This window comes from Homo sapiens, chromosome 9, assembly GCF_000001405.40.
Source record: "Homo sapiens chromosome 9, GRCh38.p14 Primary Assembly".
Lineage (NCBI taxonomy): Eukaryota > Metazoa > Chordata > Mammalia > Primates > Hominidae > Homo > Homo sapiens.
Genome location: NC_000009.12, coordinates 21,805,988 through 21,822,135, shown reverse-complemented (window position 1 = coordinate 21,822,135; position 16,148 = coordinate 21,805,988). Strand labels below are relative to the sequence as shown.

General features: G+C 43.0%; 1 protein-coding gene and 1 pseudogene across 8 annotated transcripts in view; one reads left to right on the top strand and one right to left on the bottom strand.

Annotated features, from left to right (window-relative positions):
* Positions 1-16,148, bottom strand: part of MTAP (methylthioadenosine phosphorylase) — a 138,480-nt gene that overhangs the window by 118,980 nt on the left and 3,352 nt on the right. For all 8 annotated transcript variants that reach the window (NR_173242.1, NM_001396044.1, NM_001396043.1 and 5 more), the window contains exons 2-4: positions 6,617-6,703; positions 5,364-5,422; positions 3,934-4,101 (exon numbers count right to left, since the gene is read on the bottom strand). Coding sequence is in view for 7 of the 8 variants with exons in the window: in NM_001396044.1 (NP_001382973.1) it covers positions 3,934-4,101; positions 5,364-5,422; positions 6,617-6,703 (314 nt within the window). In the remaining variant the exon portion in view is untranslated. The remainder of the gene's footprint in view (positions 1-3,933; positions 4,102-5,363; positions 5,423-6,616; positions 6,704-16,148) is intronic.
* Positions 9,774-10,647, top strand: TUBB8P1 (tubulin beta 8 class VIII pseudogene 1; annotated as a pseudogene).

Sequence of the window (16,148 nt, the reverse complement as noted above, 5' to 3'; positions counted from 1 at the left end):
AACTGAAGGAGATAGAGACACAAAAAACCCATCAAAAAATCAATGAATCCAGGAGTTGGTTTTCTGAAAGGATCAACAAAATTGATAGACCACTAGCAAGACTAATAAAGAAGAAAAGAGAGAAGAATCAAATAGATGCAATAAAAAATGATAAAGGGGATATCACCACCGATCCCACAGAAATACAAACTACCATCAGAGCATACTATAAACACTTCTATGCAAATAAACTAGAAAATCTAGAAGAAATGGATAAATTCCTGGACACACACACCCTCCCAAGACTAAACCAGGAAGAAATTGAATCCCTGAATAGACCAATAACAAACAGGCTCTGAAGTTGAGGCAATAATTAATAGCCTACCAACCAAAAAAAGTCCAGGACCAGATGGATTCACAGCCGAATTCTACCAGAGGTACAAGGAGGAGCTGGTACCATTCCTTCTGAAACTATTCCAATCAATAAAAAAAGAGGGAATCCTCCCTAACTCATTTTATGAGGCCAGCATCATCCTGATACCAAAGCCTGGCAGAGACACAACCAAAAAAGACAATTTTAGACCAATATCCCTGATGAACATCGATGCAAAAATCCTCAATAAAATACTGGCAAACTGAATCCAGCAGCACATCAAAAAGCTTATCCACCATCATCAAGTGGGCTTCATCCCTGGGATGCAAGGCTGGTTCAACATACGCAAATCAATAAACATAATCCAGCATATAAACAGAACCAAAGACAAAAACTACATGATTATCTCAATAGATGCAGAATAGGCCTTTGACAAAATTCAACAGCCCTTCATGCTAAAAACTCTCAATAAGTTAGGTATTGATGGGACGTAGCTCAAAATAATAAGAGCTATTTATGACAACCCCACAGCCAATATCATACTGAATGGGCAAAAACTGGAAGCATTCCCTTTGAAAACTGGCACAAGACAGGGATGCCCTCTCTCACCACTCCTATTCAACACAGTGCTGGAAGTTCTGGCCAGGGCAATCAGGCAGGAGAAAGATGTAAAGGGTATTCAATTAGGAAAAGAGTAATCAAATTGTCCTTGTTTGCAGATGACATGACTGTATATTTAGAAAACCCCATCGTCTCAGCCCAAAATCTCCTTAAGATGAAAAGCAACTTCAGCAAAGTCTCAGGACACAAAATCAATGTGCAAAAATCACAAGCATTCTTATACACCAATAACAGACAAACAGAGAGCCAAATCTTGAGTGAACTCACATTCACAATTGCTTCAAAGAGAATAAAATACCTAGGAATCCAACTTACAAGGGTTGTGAAGGACCTCTTCAAGGAGAACTACAAACCACTGCTCAATGAAATAAAAGAGGATACAAACAAATGGAAGAACATTCCATGCTCATGGATAGGTAGAATCAATATCATGAAAATGGCCATAGGTAATTTATAGATTCAGTGCCATCCCCATCAAGCTACCAATGGCTTTCTTCACAGAATTGGGAAAAACTACTTTAAAGTTCATATGGAACCATGAACATTGCCAAGACAATCCTAAGCCAAAAGAACAAAGCTGGAGGCATCTCACTACCTGACTTCAAACTACACTACAAGGCTACAGTCACCAAAACAGCGTGGTACTGGTACCAAAACAGATATAGACCAATGGAACAGAACAGAGCCCTCAGAAATAATACCACACATCTACAAGCATCTGATCTGTGACAAACCTGACAAAAACAAGAAATGGGGAAAGGATTCCCTATTTCATAAATGGTGCTGGGAAAACTGGCTAGCCATGTGTAGAAAGCTGAAACTGGATCCTTTCTTTACACCTTATACAAAAATTAATTCAAGATAGATTAAAGACTTAAATGTTAGACCTAAAACCATAAAAACCCTAGAAGAAAACCTAGGCAATACCATTCAGGACATAGGCATGGGGAAGGACTTCATGACTAAAACACCAAAAGCAATGGCAACAAAAGCCAAAATTGACAAATGGGATCTAATTAAACTAAAGAGCTTCTGCACAGCAAAAGAAACTACCATCAGAGTGAACAGGCAACCTACAGAATGGGAGAAAATTTTTGCAACCTACGCATCTGACTAAGGGCTAATATCCAGAATCTACAAAGAACTCAAACAAAGTTACAAGAAAAAAATCAAACAACCCCATCAAAATGTGGGCAAAAGATATGAACAGACACTTCTCAATAGAAGACATTTATGCAGCCAAAAGACACATGAAAAAATGCTCATCATCACTGGCCATCAGAGAAATGCAAATCAAAACCACAATGAGATACCATCTCACACCAGTTAGAATGGTGATCATTAAAATGTCAGGAAACAACAGGTGCTGGAGAGGATGTGGAGAAATAGGAACACTTTTACACTGCTGGTGGGAAGGTGAACTAGTTCAACCATTGTGGAAGACAGTGTGGCGATTTCTCATGGATCTAGAACTAGAAATACCATTTGACCCAGCCATCCCATTACTGGGTATATACCCAAAGGATTATAAATCATGCTGCTATAAAGGCACATGCACACGTATGTTTATTGCGGCACTATTCACAATAGCAAAGACTTGGAACCAACCCAAATGTCCATCAATGATAGACTGGATTAAGAAAATGTGGCACATATACACCATGGAATACTACGCAGCCATAAAAAGGGATTAGTTCCTGTCCTTTGTAGGGACATGGATGAAGCTGGAAACCATCATTCTCAGCAAAGTATCCCAAGAACAAAAAACCAAACTCCGCATGTTCTGACTCATAGGTGGGAACTGAACAATGAGAACACTTGGACATAGGAAGGGGAACATCACACACCAGGGCCTCTTGTGGGGTTGGGGGAGTGGGGAGGGAAAGCATCAGGAGATATACCCAATGTAAATGACGAGTTAATGGGTGCAGCACACCAACATGGCACATGTACACATATGTAACAAACCTGCACGTTGTGCACATGTACCCTAGAACTTAAAAGTACAATTAAAAAAAAAAAAAAGAAAATGTGGTATATATACACAACAGAATACCATTTAGCCTTAAAAGAGAACGCAACTCTGTCAATTGCCACAACATGGGTGAACCTGGACATTATGTTAAGTGAAATAAACCAGCCATGGAAAGACAAATACTGCATGATCTCACCTATATGTGGAATCTAACTAAGTCAAACTCATAGAAGTAAAGAGTAGAAAGGTTACCAGGGGCTGGGGTTTGGGGAGACGTTGATCAAAGCACAAAATTTCAGTTAGACAGGAGGAATAAGTTTTTGAGATTATACTGCATGGTGATTATAGCTAATGACAACGTATTATGTATTTCAAAATTGTTAAAGTAAAAATCAAATGTTCTCACCACTAAAGATGATATGTGGGGTAATATGTTAATTAGCTTTGCTAATCATTGTACAATGCATACATATATCAAAATATAATGTTATACCTCATATATACATTTATCATTTGTCAATTAAAATTAAAAAACAAAAACTCACAATGAAAAGCTTAACACAGGCTGGGTGCAGTGGCTCACGCCTGTAATCCCAGCACTTTGCGCTTTGGGAGGCGGAGGCGGGTGATCTCCTGATTCAAGACCAGCCTGACCAATATGACGAAACTCCATCTCTACTAAAAATACAAAAATTAGCTGGGCATTGTGGCATGTGCCTGTAGTCCCAGCTACTCGGGAGGCTAAGACAGAAGCATTGCTTGAACCTGGGAGGCGGAGGTTTCAGTGAGCTGAGTTCATGCCACTGCACTCCAGCCTGGGAGACAGAGTGAGGCTCCGTCTCCAAAAAAAAAAAAAAAAAAAAAAAAAAAGCAAGCGAGTCTGTGGCACTGCCCTCCCAGTTGCCCTGCCGGTTCCCACGCGTCGTCCATTTGAGCTGAAAATGACCAGCTACAATAGCCTAAAGCATTTTGTATGACTGCTTACCTGTCAATGAACTGATCAATAATGACAATATCGCCGGGCTGAATCTCCTCCCTCAAGGAGCCACAAGCTGTGGTCACTATGACATGTGTACAGCCCTCTTCCTTCAAAGCCCAGATGTTCGCCTGGTAGTTGACCTTTGAAGGCATGATGGTGTGCTGCCTTCCATGCCTATGGAAGGAGAGAAGAAATTGTTAACCCGTGATGAGTACACCACCAACTGTTTTCTCCTAGAGTCTAGAAAAAATTAAGTGATTCTCTAGCAATGACCACAGACTAACACAGGGGGTCTCCTAGAACCCAGTCCAGTGAGCAACTAAAACTAAAATTTAGGTTCACTGGATTCTGAGAAGCCACTCCTGTTTCAAATATGTAGAGTGGCAGACAGACCCTAGTGAGGACCCCACTGTCATGCTCTGTATAAAGGATCAGTGAACCTGGGACTTGCATTCAGCCAATAGAAAAATGGTAAACGTGCTATAAGTCACTCCCACGATTAGGCTCTACCTTGCAAGCATGCATAGGAGATTCTCCTGCCGGACTCCTGCATGCTTGCAAGGTACAGCTTAACCATGGAGGTGACTTCTAGCACCTTTGCCATATCCTAATAGCAAGAAGCAAGCTGCAGTCAAGTGAACAGCCTGTGGAGCAGGCCACACGGCAGGGAATGTGAACCACCTCTAGGAGCCAAAGGCCTCCGCCCTGTAACTTCTAGGGAGTGAATTCTCCTACAACTACACGAGCTTGAACAAGGACCTCAAGCTCCAGATGGGGACTCAGTCCTTGAATATGCCTTGTGGGGCCTTGTGCAACCCCAAGCAGAGGACTGGCTAAGCTGTGCCAGACTTCTGACCAACAGGAACTAGGAGATGATGTGTGCTATTTTAAGCTGCTAAATTTGTGGTAATTTGTTACACAACAGTAGAGAACTCATACATATATCTTGACTAACTTCTAACAATGGGATAAAAATGACTTGGCCTCCTCTGTAATATGGAGCAGCACCAGCCTCCTTAAGGAAACAACAGCACAGACACAAGTAACCCACTTCAGAAGCCCTAAGCCTACTTCCCACAGACATATAACTACTACCAGCAAGAGGTCATTAATGATGCATTGTTTTTCTTTATCTTTATAAGAAGGGGGAAAAAAATGAACAAAACATTTCTTCTTGCAGTTAGAACTAAAACCAGAGCTTTGATTTTAGTCATCTGATCTACTTTCCCAATGTAAGGGGCAAGAGCATGAGATCTTTGATCTCCTAAGTCAATATAACTTAACCAAAAATAAAACATTGTAAATAAAGGTTACTAAGATGTTCTGATTCTGCCAACATATAAAAGCTCAGACCTGTATCTTTACTCTTTCCAGAATTTAAGTTAAATTTAAATTATCCTTTAGTAGTAACATCCAAAAAGCTTAAAATACCATACCTTGCAAGGAGGACGCAATCAACATTTTTTATCTTCCCCAAAATTAAGGCATCAGATGGCTGCATGCAATGAAAAAATGACATTTAACTCAGTGATTTAAAAACAGGTATGTAAATTATAATTGTTCAACCACAACAGGACTCATGGAATCTGAAGAGTCTGAGGATACAACTTAGAGAAGAGGCAAGATCTGATTATCAATATAATCATTTAATCAATTACTTATTGATCCCTCTGCAGGCATAGATTCACAGGACTCAAGGTTACCATGGGCACCTGTGTAGGTACCATTTAGTCAGATCTATTTGTAACGAGTACCCCAGGGAACTCTGATGGTAGACTGGTCAAATTTAGATGTGTCAAGGTTATTGGGCAGGTTTGAGAACAGGTGTGAAGGTGAAAGGCAGAAAGGATAACAAGCCACCATCATGACACTAAGAATTCAGCACTGGAAATGTCTGCTTGTGTTAACCAGGTCTAAGATGATCATGGAAATGACTTGAGGTAACAAAGGCTGGAAAGACCCTTAGAACCGAGGGGTTTAAGAAAATGAACCAGGATGACTGCAGGACTGGGAGCACACAAGGTCAACCTAAGAATTTAGCTGAAAAGGAGGGTTTGGTTGGGACAGCCAGATAGAGAGATCTTACAGATGGACCAGAGGACGTAGCAATATGGAATTAGGAGAATGCAGACACCCTCACCCCGGCCTAGGCTGAGTGACATGGGCTTGGAGAACAAGCAACCTCTCCTATAAAAGGAGGAGCATTTTATTTCTAGCTCAGTTACACATTCAACTAACATCAGGTATGTTCTAATTCCCCAAAACAATTCTTTCCACTCAAATGCCGCTTCGTAACAATAATTCATCCTATTAGTCATCAGCCTGTCCCCTAATTAGTGTGGTGTGACCTATTGGCCACAAATTAGAAGATTTGAATGTAGATTTGAAAAGTACAGTCTGAAATGAGTCTGTGGTCTGAAATGAGTATCTGATTTCCAGCAACAGAATGAGAAGTGATTTACATACTAAGTAGCCATTTTCTCAAAACATCAAAGTGTGAGGCGCCCATCAGACACCTTCTCAGCTGATGGAACCCAACAGCAGAACTTCTGGCCCTCTCTGCTGGGAGCAGACAGCCCTGGGCTGCCAAAACAAAAGCAATTCTTTTTTTTTTTTTTAATTCAAAAATCAAGCCAGCAAGGAGAAATGAAAAAACTAAAAAACATGTCTCCACAAGTTGGATATTAACCTTGCCAAATGGAGTATCCACATATTTTTCAGTTCTTCCTTCTAAAATTTCTGGATCATCCAGGCCTGTTCCACCAATTATTCCAATCTAAGAGAGAAAAAGACAGAGAAGATTATTGTATTTGGTAATTTTTATTAGAAATAAGATTCTAAGCAAATTCATTTATTCATATGCTCTTCTCCATTCCTGCCAAGCCCTAGTTATTTTTTTGAAATCTGAAAATTACTGAACATCAATCAACAAATATTTCAAAGCCTTCCATAAAAATCAACAAACATTTGAAGGCCTTCTATATTCTATAAGTAACCAAAACGTAGGGCACCTTTTTGGACTACATCACATTTACTTCTGACTGTCTGAATTACAAGTCAGCATAGAGAGGTATTTTAACCAACTCAAGGTAGAAAATCAAACCTAAAAGTAGGCAAGTATGGTAGTGGAAAGTACCTTCTGATCAATTTTGTTTCTCTGTCAAATGGACTATAGAATAAACAATGTTCAGAAGACTGCTGGGATATAAAATATTAGGTATTCCATTTGGTATTGATTTCTCCTCACTGTTCTATTTGATAAAGAAATGAGAGATTATCTTTCCCACGCCATTAGAATCACAGAGCTAGGAGAGAATGCAGACAGAGGAGACTGAAATTGCATGAAAAGTTACCCGCATATACATTTATGAAAACAATCATTCATATATGTATGCAAATTCATATTTACATGTTGTAAATATACATATAGCATACTCATGTATATTACTCAGTAAATACATTTATGCAAATATAAATAATTCAAAAGGTAGTTATAAGTTTTTTTTAAGTTCATGCATTGTATTGCATTTTTCAGAGATTATCTTGAAAGTCCTTGTCTGAGTTAAAGAAACCTAGCACTATCCTCTGAGAGTTGATCTAATTTGATGATTAAGAAAGACAAACAAGAACAATTACAAAAATAAATAAAAATTAACTAAACTGTTAAAACTAAAAATAAGTAACAAATCATTAGGGAAATTTCCTTGGGCTGGTACCTCCTAGAGAGTAAACAGTGCCAGGCTAACTTTATTAGAAACCTAATTAATGCGAAGTGACCTGAGCATTGTTGTTTTTCAATGAAAAGCTTTAAATCTATTGTCACAAGGGTAACTAAATAAAATAAAGTAGGCCTCAAGAAAAAAATTCCAGGATTAAGAATTCAGTGAACATCTGCATTAAATAATTTTCAGGTCAGGTTACACAAGTTGAGTCCTATCAACACGTAAAAAAATGGTTACCTTTCTGGCTCAGTTTCCTGAAAAAAACAAAACACACACACAAAAAAAGCAACAACAACAAAAAACAAACAAGAAAATAAGGACAATTTAGTGAGGTTTTTACTGAAGAACTCTGCCTGTTTCCCATGACATGGTTACATAATTTGTGACTGTCCACCACAATTTCCTTAAGTGGCAAAGCCAGGCTTTGATGTTGGCGCCATCTTGTGGAGGTATATTATTAAAACCACAGCAGGTTAACATACTTTTATGTCAACGAACAAAGAGTAACCAGTATTATAGCTTTCAAATCAACAGAAGTGTTCACTTAAGTCAATACATTTAAATTACGGCACTTCAATAGAAAATAACAAAAATTCATACTGTTTTAGGAAATCCCAATCCTTCCTTAGCCTGGCTTCTCCATCTTATCCTTCATTCCGTGGACCTCTGAAGCACCACAGGTCATGAGGAGGCTAAGAAACCATCCAGCCCATATCCTCACCTGGGACACAGATATGAACTGCTGACTCTGAAATTACTCTCAGCCAGCTCCCTGGGGATTCAGCTACTAGCTTTTTAACTTATCACCACTTTGGCCTGGCTGTTTCTGGGTGTTCCCTGAGCCAGGGCATCTCAGATTCTGGATTCAACACTGGATGCTCGGGATCAAATACACAAATCGAGTTGGGCTTTGTTTGGAGCCACCCTCTGAGTTTAGGTGAACTTGCCCAGCATTGTAGCAGTTGTTGAGAAATGCTAACCAGGTGTCCCGCTGAATTTCAGAGCCCCTGAGCTCACTCTCAGCAACCCCAAGCTTCAGTCTGCACCACCTGGCTGCATAATGACTCTGCACCAGGTAGCTGGCAACTCAGCCCTCAGCAAGGAACATGTAGTAGCCCTGGACATGAAAGCAAGAGTGGCTACTGCTCTGGAATGATCTGCAGGCAAGCCCATCCAGTCACTTTACTAGGTCCAGTTGTTTACGGAAACCTACATTGTGCGAGGGATACAGGGACAAGTGTAGCAACTGAGTCCCGCCATCCCAGGAAACTGGACCTCTAAGATGGAGGCCAGCAGGGCCAAGATGTGGCCAATGTCGCCACCTGCTGGCTCCACAGCAAAGTACAACTGGGATGAAGTACCCAAGCACTGATGGCCCAATTCTATCCACATTCCTTTGAGTCTCTAAGTTTGTGTCAACTCAGTACTGCCTTAGTTATAAAGTAACTGTGTCTGTGGACTTACATGTTAAAGGCACTGTGCTAAGTGCTTCAGTGGCCTTACCTTATTTCATCATCAGGACCATAAGATGGGCCCTATAGAATGTTACCCGTTTTACAAACGAAGAAAGAGAAGCACAAAAATTAAAAACCTCGTCCAGGGGCCAATCATAAGGAGCAAAGCTGGGATACAAATCTAGGTCTTTCAGGCTTAACCACTATGATGTGCCCTCTCCCAATATCCCCTGGAGTCCTCCATAACATTATACCTTATTAGAAAAGTTATTTGTCTCCATGTTATGAGACAACATGCTCAGAGAGGTCAAGTTCATGACGAAGGTCACAGAACAAGCACAGAAACAGTGACTCCAGGTATCTGAGTGAATCATCTCAGAGGGGAGGAAAACTCTTTCTTAATGACCTCATCCACCCTCAGGAAACAATGACAAGACCTTGCCAGGCCTCCTGGGCAGGAAGCGTCAGTCCTCAGTCCAGTTAATTCTAGACTGTGTAGGAAATGTGTTCAAGACCTGAGATGGAATTTCTGCCCAGCCAGGACTTCTTTATTACACAAGATAGAGTTCTGAAATAGGGAGTCAATCAAGGTCCTTGACAGATTTTAAAAGCTAGTGGCTCATGCCACACTTTTCCACGGACTGACCATCAAACCAAACTTCTCAAAACTAGACCTTCTGCAATGATAATAAATAAAGCTCTCTATGACATCTGCCTCAGAACCCTAAAGCTGCCCACACCTACCTACAGTGACTTGAACCACCTGGTGTCTGCAGCCATGAGTGGGGTCACCATCTGTCTGCATTTCCCTGGCCAACTCAATGCTGACTTGCAGAAGCTGGCCGCAAACATGGTCCTGTTCCCCCACCTGCACTTCATGTATGGCTTCCCCCTGCTGACCAGCTGGGACAACCAGCAGTACTGGGCCCTCATGGTGCGTGAGCCCACTTGGCAGTTCTTTGATGCCAAGAATATGATGGCTGCCTGCAACCTCTGCCATGGTTGCTACGTAATGGTAGCTGCCATGTTCAGGGGCCACATGTCCATGAAGGAGGTGGACATGCACATGCTTAATGCCCAAAATATGAACAGCAGCTACTTTGTTGGTTGGATCCCCCAAGATATAAAAACAGCTGTGTGTGACTTCCCACCCTCAGGGCTAAAGATGTCCGGCCACCTTCACTGGCAACAACACTGCTATCTAGGATCTGATCAAGGGCATCTCAGAGCAGTTCACAGGTATACTTCGGTGCAAAGCTTTCCTGTACTGGTACACGGGCGAGGGCATGGATGAGATGGAATTCACCGAGGCTGAAAGCAACATGAACGACCTGGTGTCTGAGTACCAGCAGTAGCAGGAGGCCACGGCTGAGGAGGAAGAGTTTGAGTGAGCCAAGGAGGAGGTAGGTGGCCTAGAGCCTTCTGTTACTGTGTAAAGGGTGGAAGTGGTGTGAACCCTTTATTCACGCACAATCTGTTCTATGACAGCCATGTCTTAGTGTATGTGCGCTTGCTGTTGTGTCTTGACATCACATGTTCTAAAGACACCCCAAAGAAAGCATTTTCACAGTGAAAAAAAAAATTTTTTTGTTCAAGAGCAAATCAATCCAAGGGTCTGACTTCTCTGAGACTGTGAAAGCATTTATCCAAATACCAGTTCACCTGGTCAGAACAGTTACTTCTAGCAATGTGGAAAGGGTGCATAGTAACCCCTACTCTGTCTATTTCTTCTAGTACCTGGCTACAGGAGATTTTACCAACCCTTCTTTGTCCCAGAAACCATTCACCATCACTTTGAGGCCTGGGCACACTGCCGTAAGGAACCCAGCACTCTATAATGGCATTTTCAAAATACCATCACCCCAAGCGGTTGAGACTAGCTCATGCCAGGGAGATGGGCTGCCTCTGAGTGCCTCAAGCTCACGATAAGGTAAGCGAGCCAGAGCTGGAGCTGGCACAGCCCGATCTGAGCACTGCAGTCCTTTAGCTCTGGTTGCCATAACAATTTTGGCAAGCACAGCAGACGGAGGCCCTCATTATTAGGCTGACATGGCTTTGAGGCCTGTCAGGGCCTTGCAAAATCCTGGAAGCCTAGCTGTATGAGAGGGAGCAACCAACTGTCTCAGGCTGTGAGGACTGTTAAAAACCTGCAATAGGGTCCACAGGGATAGCTGGGGTCTCCATCTCTGACAAGACACCCCCTCTGTAGGCCACCCTTGTAGGTAATGGTTATGGATGGAATTGTATCTCCCCTAAGTTCATAGGTTGAAGTTCCAACTCTCAGTACCTCAGAATGTGACTGTATTTGCCGTTTTTAAAGAGGTAATTCAGATCAAATGAGGTCACTGGGATGGGCCCTAATGCAGTATACCTCATGTTATGGTTTGAATGTGGTCATCTTCAAAACTCATGTTGAGGCTTGGTCCCCAAATATAGTGATGCTGGGAGGTAGTACCTTTAAGAGGAGTTTGAGTCATGAGCCATGGTAATAATCCACCCCAATTAAGGGATTCATGCAGTCCCAGGGGAGGGTGTTCTTGCTCTCATTGGGTTGGATTAGTTCCAGTGAGAGTGGGTTGTTATGAAGCAAAGTTTGTCTCTTTTTTGTTTCCTTTTCCTATCTCCCTCGTCTCCCTTTCATTTCTTTTAAATAAACCTCTTCTCTTTATAAATTACCCTGTCTCAGGTATTCTGTTATAGCAACAGAAAACAGACTAAGAAAACTGTTGTCCTTACAAGAGATTGGGATATAACCACATACAGAGGGAAGACCCTGTGAAGACAAATGGAGAACATTGCCATGTACAAGCCAAGCAGACTGACCTTACAAGAAATCCACCTTGATCTCACCTTGATCTTGGACTTCTAACCTCCAGCGCTGTGAGGAGATAATGCTTCTGTTGCATAAGCTACCCATTCTGTAGTGCTTTGTTATAGCAGGCCTAGCGAACTAATACAGTGACTCTATATTTTAGTCAGAGAAGCTTGGATGATGCAAGCGCTCAAAACATCCATGGTTTTTATTTGAGCAAATGCCCCTTGAGAAGTACAGATATCAGTCTAAAGGGCAGACACCCTCTTAAAGACACACTTCACCTGCTGAAATGGCCAGATATTTTTAGAGGAGGACTCTCCCTAATGCATACTTTGTTAGAGCTCTCCTTTGCCTGTGGAGCAACAGTGGGAGCCACCCACCCTCCTGAACCAGCTGCTGGATACTAGGACATTCCCCTTCTCTAGCTTTCAATACCAAAGCCCAGGCCTCAGGGATTCTGATTAGTTGGGCAAGGCGTAGTTTGTTTTTAAAGCTCCGCAGGTGGTTCTAAAGTGCCCTCAGAACTAAGCAACCTGCTCTAGGGCCTAGACCATAAATTTCTTTCTTTTTTTTTTTTTTGAGACGGAGTCTCACTCTGTCGCCCAGGCTGGAGTGCAGTGGTGCGATCTCGGCTCACTGCAAGCTCCGCCTCCCAGTTTCACACCATTCTCCTGCCTTAGTCTCCCAAGTAGCTGGGATGACAGGAGGCTGCCACCGTGCCCGGCTAATTTTTTGTATTTTTAGTAGAGACGGGGTTTCACCATGTTAGCCAGGATGGTCTCAATCTTCGGATCTTGTGATCCGCCCGCCTCAGCCTCCCAAAGTGCTGGGATTACAGGCATGAGCCACCGCGCCCGGCCCCTAGACCATAAATTTTTAAAACGTGGGCTGAGTGTGGCAAGCTGAACAATGCCCCTGTCCCAAGAGATCCTAGCTACATCCTAATTCCCAGAACCTGGGAATGTTACCTCAAATATGATTAAATCCAGGATCTTGAGATGGGGAGATTATCCTAGATTACCTGGGTGGGACCTAAATGAAATCACAAGGAGGCAAGAAGGTCAAATGAGGAAGAAAGTGATATAATGATAGAAGCAGAGGGAGAGAAAAGGGGACATGATGTGGGGCCATGGGCCAAGAAGTGCTGGTGCCTCCAGAAGCTGAAAAAGGCAAGGAAATAGGTTTTCCCCATAAGCAAGAGAAACTTATCTTCTCACAGTTCTGGAGGCTAGAAGTCCAACATTAAGGTGAGATTGGGATTGATTTCTTCTAAGGTCAGTCTCCTTGGCTTGTAGATGGCAGCGTTCTCCATGTGTCTTCACATGGTCTTCCCTCTGTATGTGTCCGTGTCCCAATCTCTTACAAGCACAACATTTTTCTTAGTCTGTTTTCTGCTGCTATAACAGAATACCTGAGATAGGGTAATTTATAAAGAAAAGAGGCTTATTTAGCTCATGGTTCTACAGGTTCAGAAGACTGAAAAAGGCAAGGAAATGGTTTTTCTAAGAGGAACCAGCCCGATACACATGTTAATTTTAGCCCTGTAAGACTCATTTTGGATTTGTGGACTCCAGAACTGTAAGAGAATACGTTTGTGTGTGTGTGTGTGTGTTTTTTTTTTTTTTGGAAACAGAGTCTCACTTTGTCACCCAGGCTGCTGGAGTGCAGTGGTGAAATCTCAGCTCACTGCAGCCTCAACCTCCTGGGTTCAAGTGACCCTCCTACCTCAGCCCCCAAGGAGCTGAACTACAAGCGTGCACCGCCACGCCTGGCTAATTTTTTTGTTTTTTTTTTTTGCAGAGATGAGGTTTCACCATGCTGCCCAGGCTGGTCTTGAACGCCTGAGCTCAAGCAGTCTATCCACCTCAGCCTCCCAAAGTGCTATGATTACAGGCATGAGCCACCATGCCCGGCCTCATGTGTGTTGTCTTAAGCCACTCCATTTGTGAAAATTGTTATAGCAGCAACAGGAAACTATAACACTAAGGGAAGAACTTGTTAAAAATGTAGATGGCCACCCTTTCCAAAGCTCTCTAGGTCAGTGGCTGTCAAACTTCGGTGGACATCTGAATATTCTAAGGCTTGTCAAAACCTAGATTGCTGGGCCCCAGCCCCAGAGTTTCTGATTCACTGGGACTGGGGTGGGGCCTATGAACTTGCATTTCTAGCAAATGACCAGGTGATATGAATGCATGACACGCTTTGAGAACCACTGCTTTAGATGCTTTTGAGGCACAGGCTGGAATGCCATGACTACAACCACAGGTGAGGATCCAGAATCCACTGCATACAAACATTTTCCTTAACTGCTTCCTCAGCTGTACCTATAGGGTAAGATTTTTACTAATCCATAAAATTATCAAGAGAATAAAATGAAATAATGTATTACCATCAGTCTCTGTTTCTGTATACCCTACCACTCCTGGCAAAAATAAAAAATCAAAATAAACTTCCTCAAAGCAACAAAAAAAGCCCTTATTTCCTCCTTTTACTCTGCTGAGCAGTACAAAACCTGGCTGCTCCTACCTCTCTTCAGCAGGTAGTCTTTTTTGGGATTTAGCCTTGGGGTCCTCAACTAAATGTCAAACAGCTCTCCTGGGGGTATCTGGAAACAGGGCTATTTCTGGCTGTCATGACTAGGGGGAGTGCTACTGGCATTTCTGTGGAGGAGGTTAAGGGTTGTACTCCATGTCCTGCAATGCTTGGGACAGTCCTACAAAAGAAATAATTGTCCTGCCCAAAATGCCCTTGTGTCCCTAGGCAAAAAAAATGAAGGCTTGTTGGTCATGTGATTTTCAACTGGGGCCTGCAGGTTGTCCTCAGTTTCAGATAGCCACACAAGGACTCTCAGGCTGAAGGCCCTTGCAGGCCACACTCAAGACAGCAAAGCAGGGAGTGTAAAGGCCCATATTCCACAGTCTACAAACCATGACTTGTCCATCTCCCTTAATATCATTATGTTGATAGCTCACTACCAACCTACAATGGGACCATATCCCCTCCTTGTCACAGCAACCATGATTAACAAGTTGTTGTTATTATTATTATTATTTTGAGACAGGATCTTACTCTGTCGCCCAGGCTGGAGTGCAATGGCGCAGTCTCTGCTCACTGCAACCTCTGCCTCCTGGGCTCAAGAGATTCGCCCACCTTGGCCTCCTGAGTAGCTGGGATTACATGCGTGCAGCACCGTGCCTGGCTAATTTTTGTATTTTTTGTAGAAATGGGGTTTCACCATGTTGCCCAGGCTGGTCTTGAACTTCTGAGCTCAGGTAATCTGCCCAGCTGGGCCTCCCAAAGTGTTGGGATTACAGGCATGAGCCACCGCGCCTGGCCAAGTCTTATTTTTAATCTCCCAGAATGAAAGCTGGGAGGCTGCCCAGGGGAGCCATGGTACACTGCAGGAGCCCTCCAGAATGCCCTGTATCTGGGTGCCAAAGACTGGTTTGGCCCTCTGTCAGGAATACCACCTGCCCTTGGCTGATGCTGGAGGACAATGTCTCCCTGAGGTCCTCTCAGACAATGGCAGTGTTAATCCCATAGCCTCTGGCTCCTGCTGCCTCTCTCCATGGCTACCCCCCAGGTAATATCCTCACTCCCTGCCTGGACCATCTCTCACTGCAGTGAACCACAAAAAAGATTGCTTGAATTACTCTCACTCCAGGTGGCTTCCTCCCTCCCTCAACCTGCCACCCACTCTGCTCCTACAGCAAAGAGGCCCCTCAGCATCCCAGCCTCTGGCCCCCTAACCAGCAGTATCTGGGAGGAAGGAATCCTACACTCACCCTCCTTGGCTCCAAGGAGTCACTCGTGGCCCCTTATCGCCCACTTTGAAATGATCCACCAGTATCATCATCTTTTTGGTTTTCCAGGTCAAAAGCAGAAATCATCCTGTTCTTCTTCCTGCACTCCCCACATCTTATCCATCTCTGTGTTCTACCTGCAAATTCTATCCCCAATCTGATTATTCCTCACCACCTCCATGGCTCCCACCCTAGACTTCAGCCCCAGCACCAAGACTTCTGGCCTGATCTCTTAGCTCTTCCCCTGCCCACAGGCTATTCTGTATACAACAGCCAGAGTAATCATTTTAAAATGTAAATCAAATGCTGCCTCCCACTCTTAACCCTTCAACAGTTTCCAAAACATTTAAAATCAAAATTCTTGATCGCGGTCTACAAGGATGGCCTTATGAGCTGCATCCACCCAATTCTCACTGTGCATCCGTGA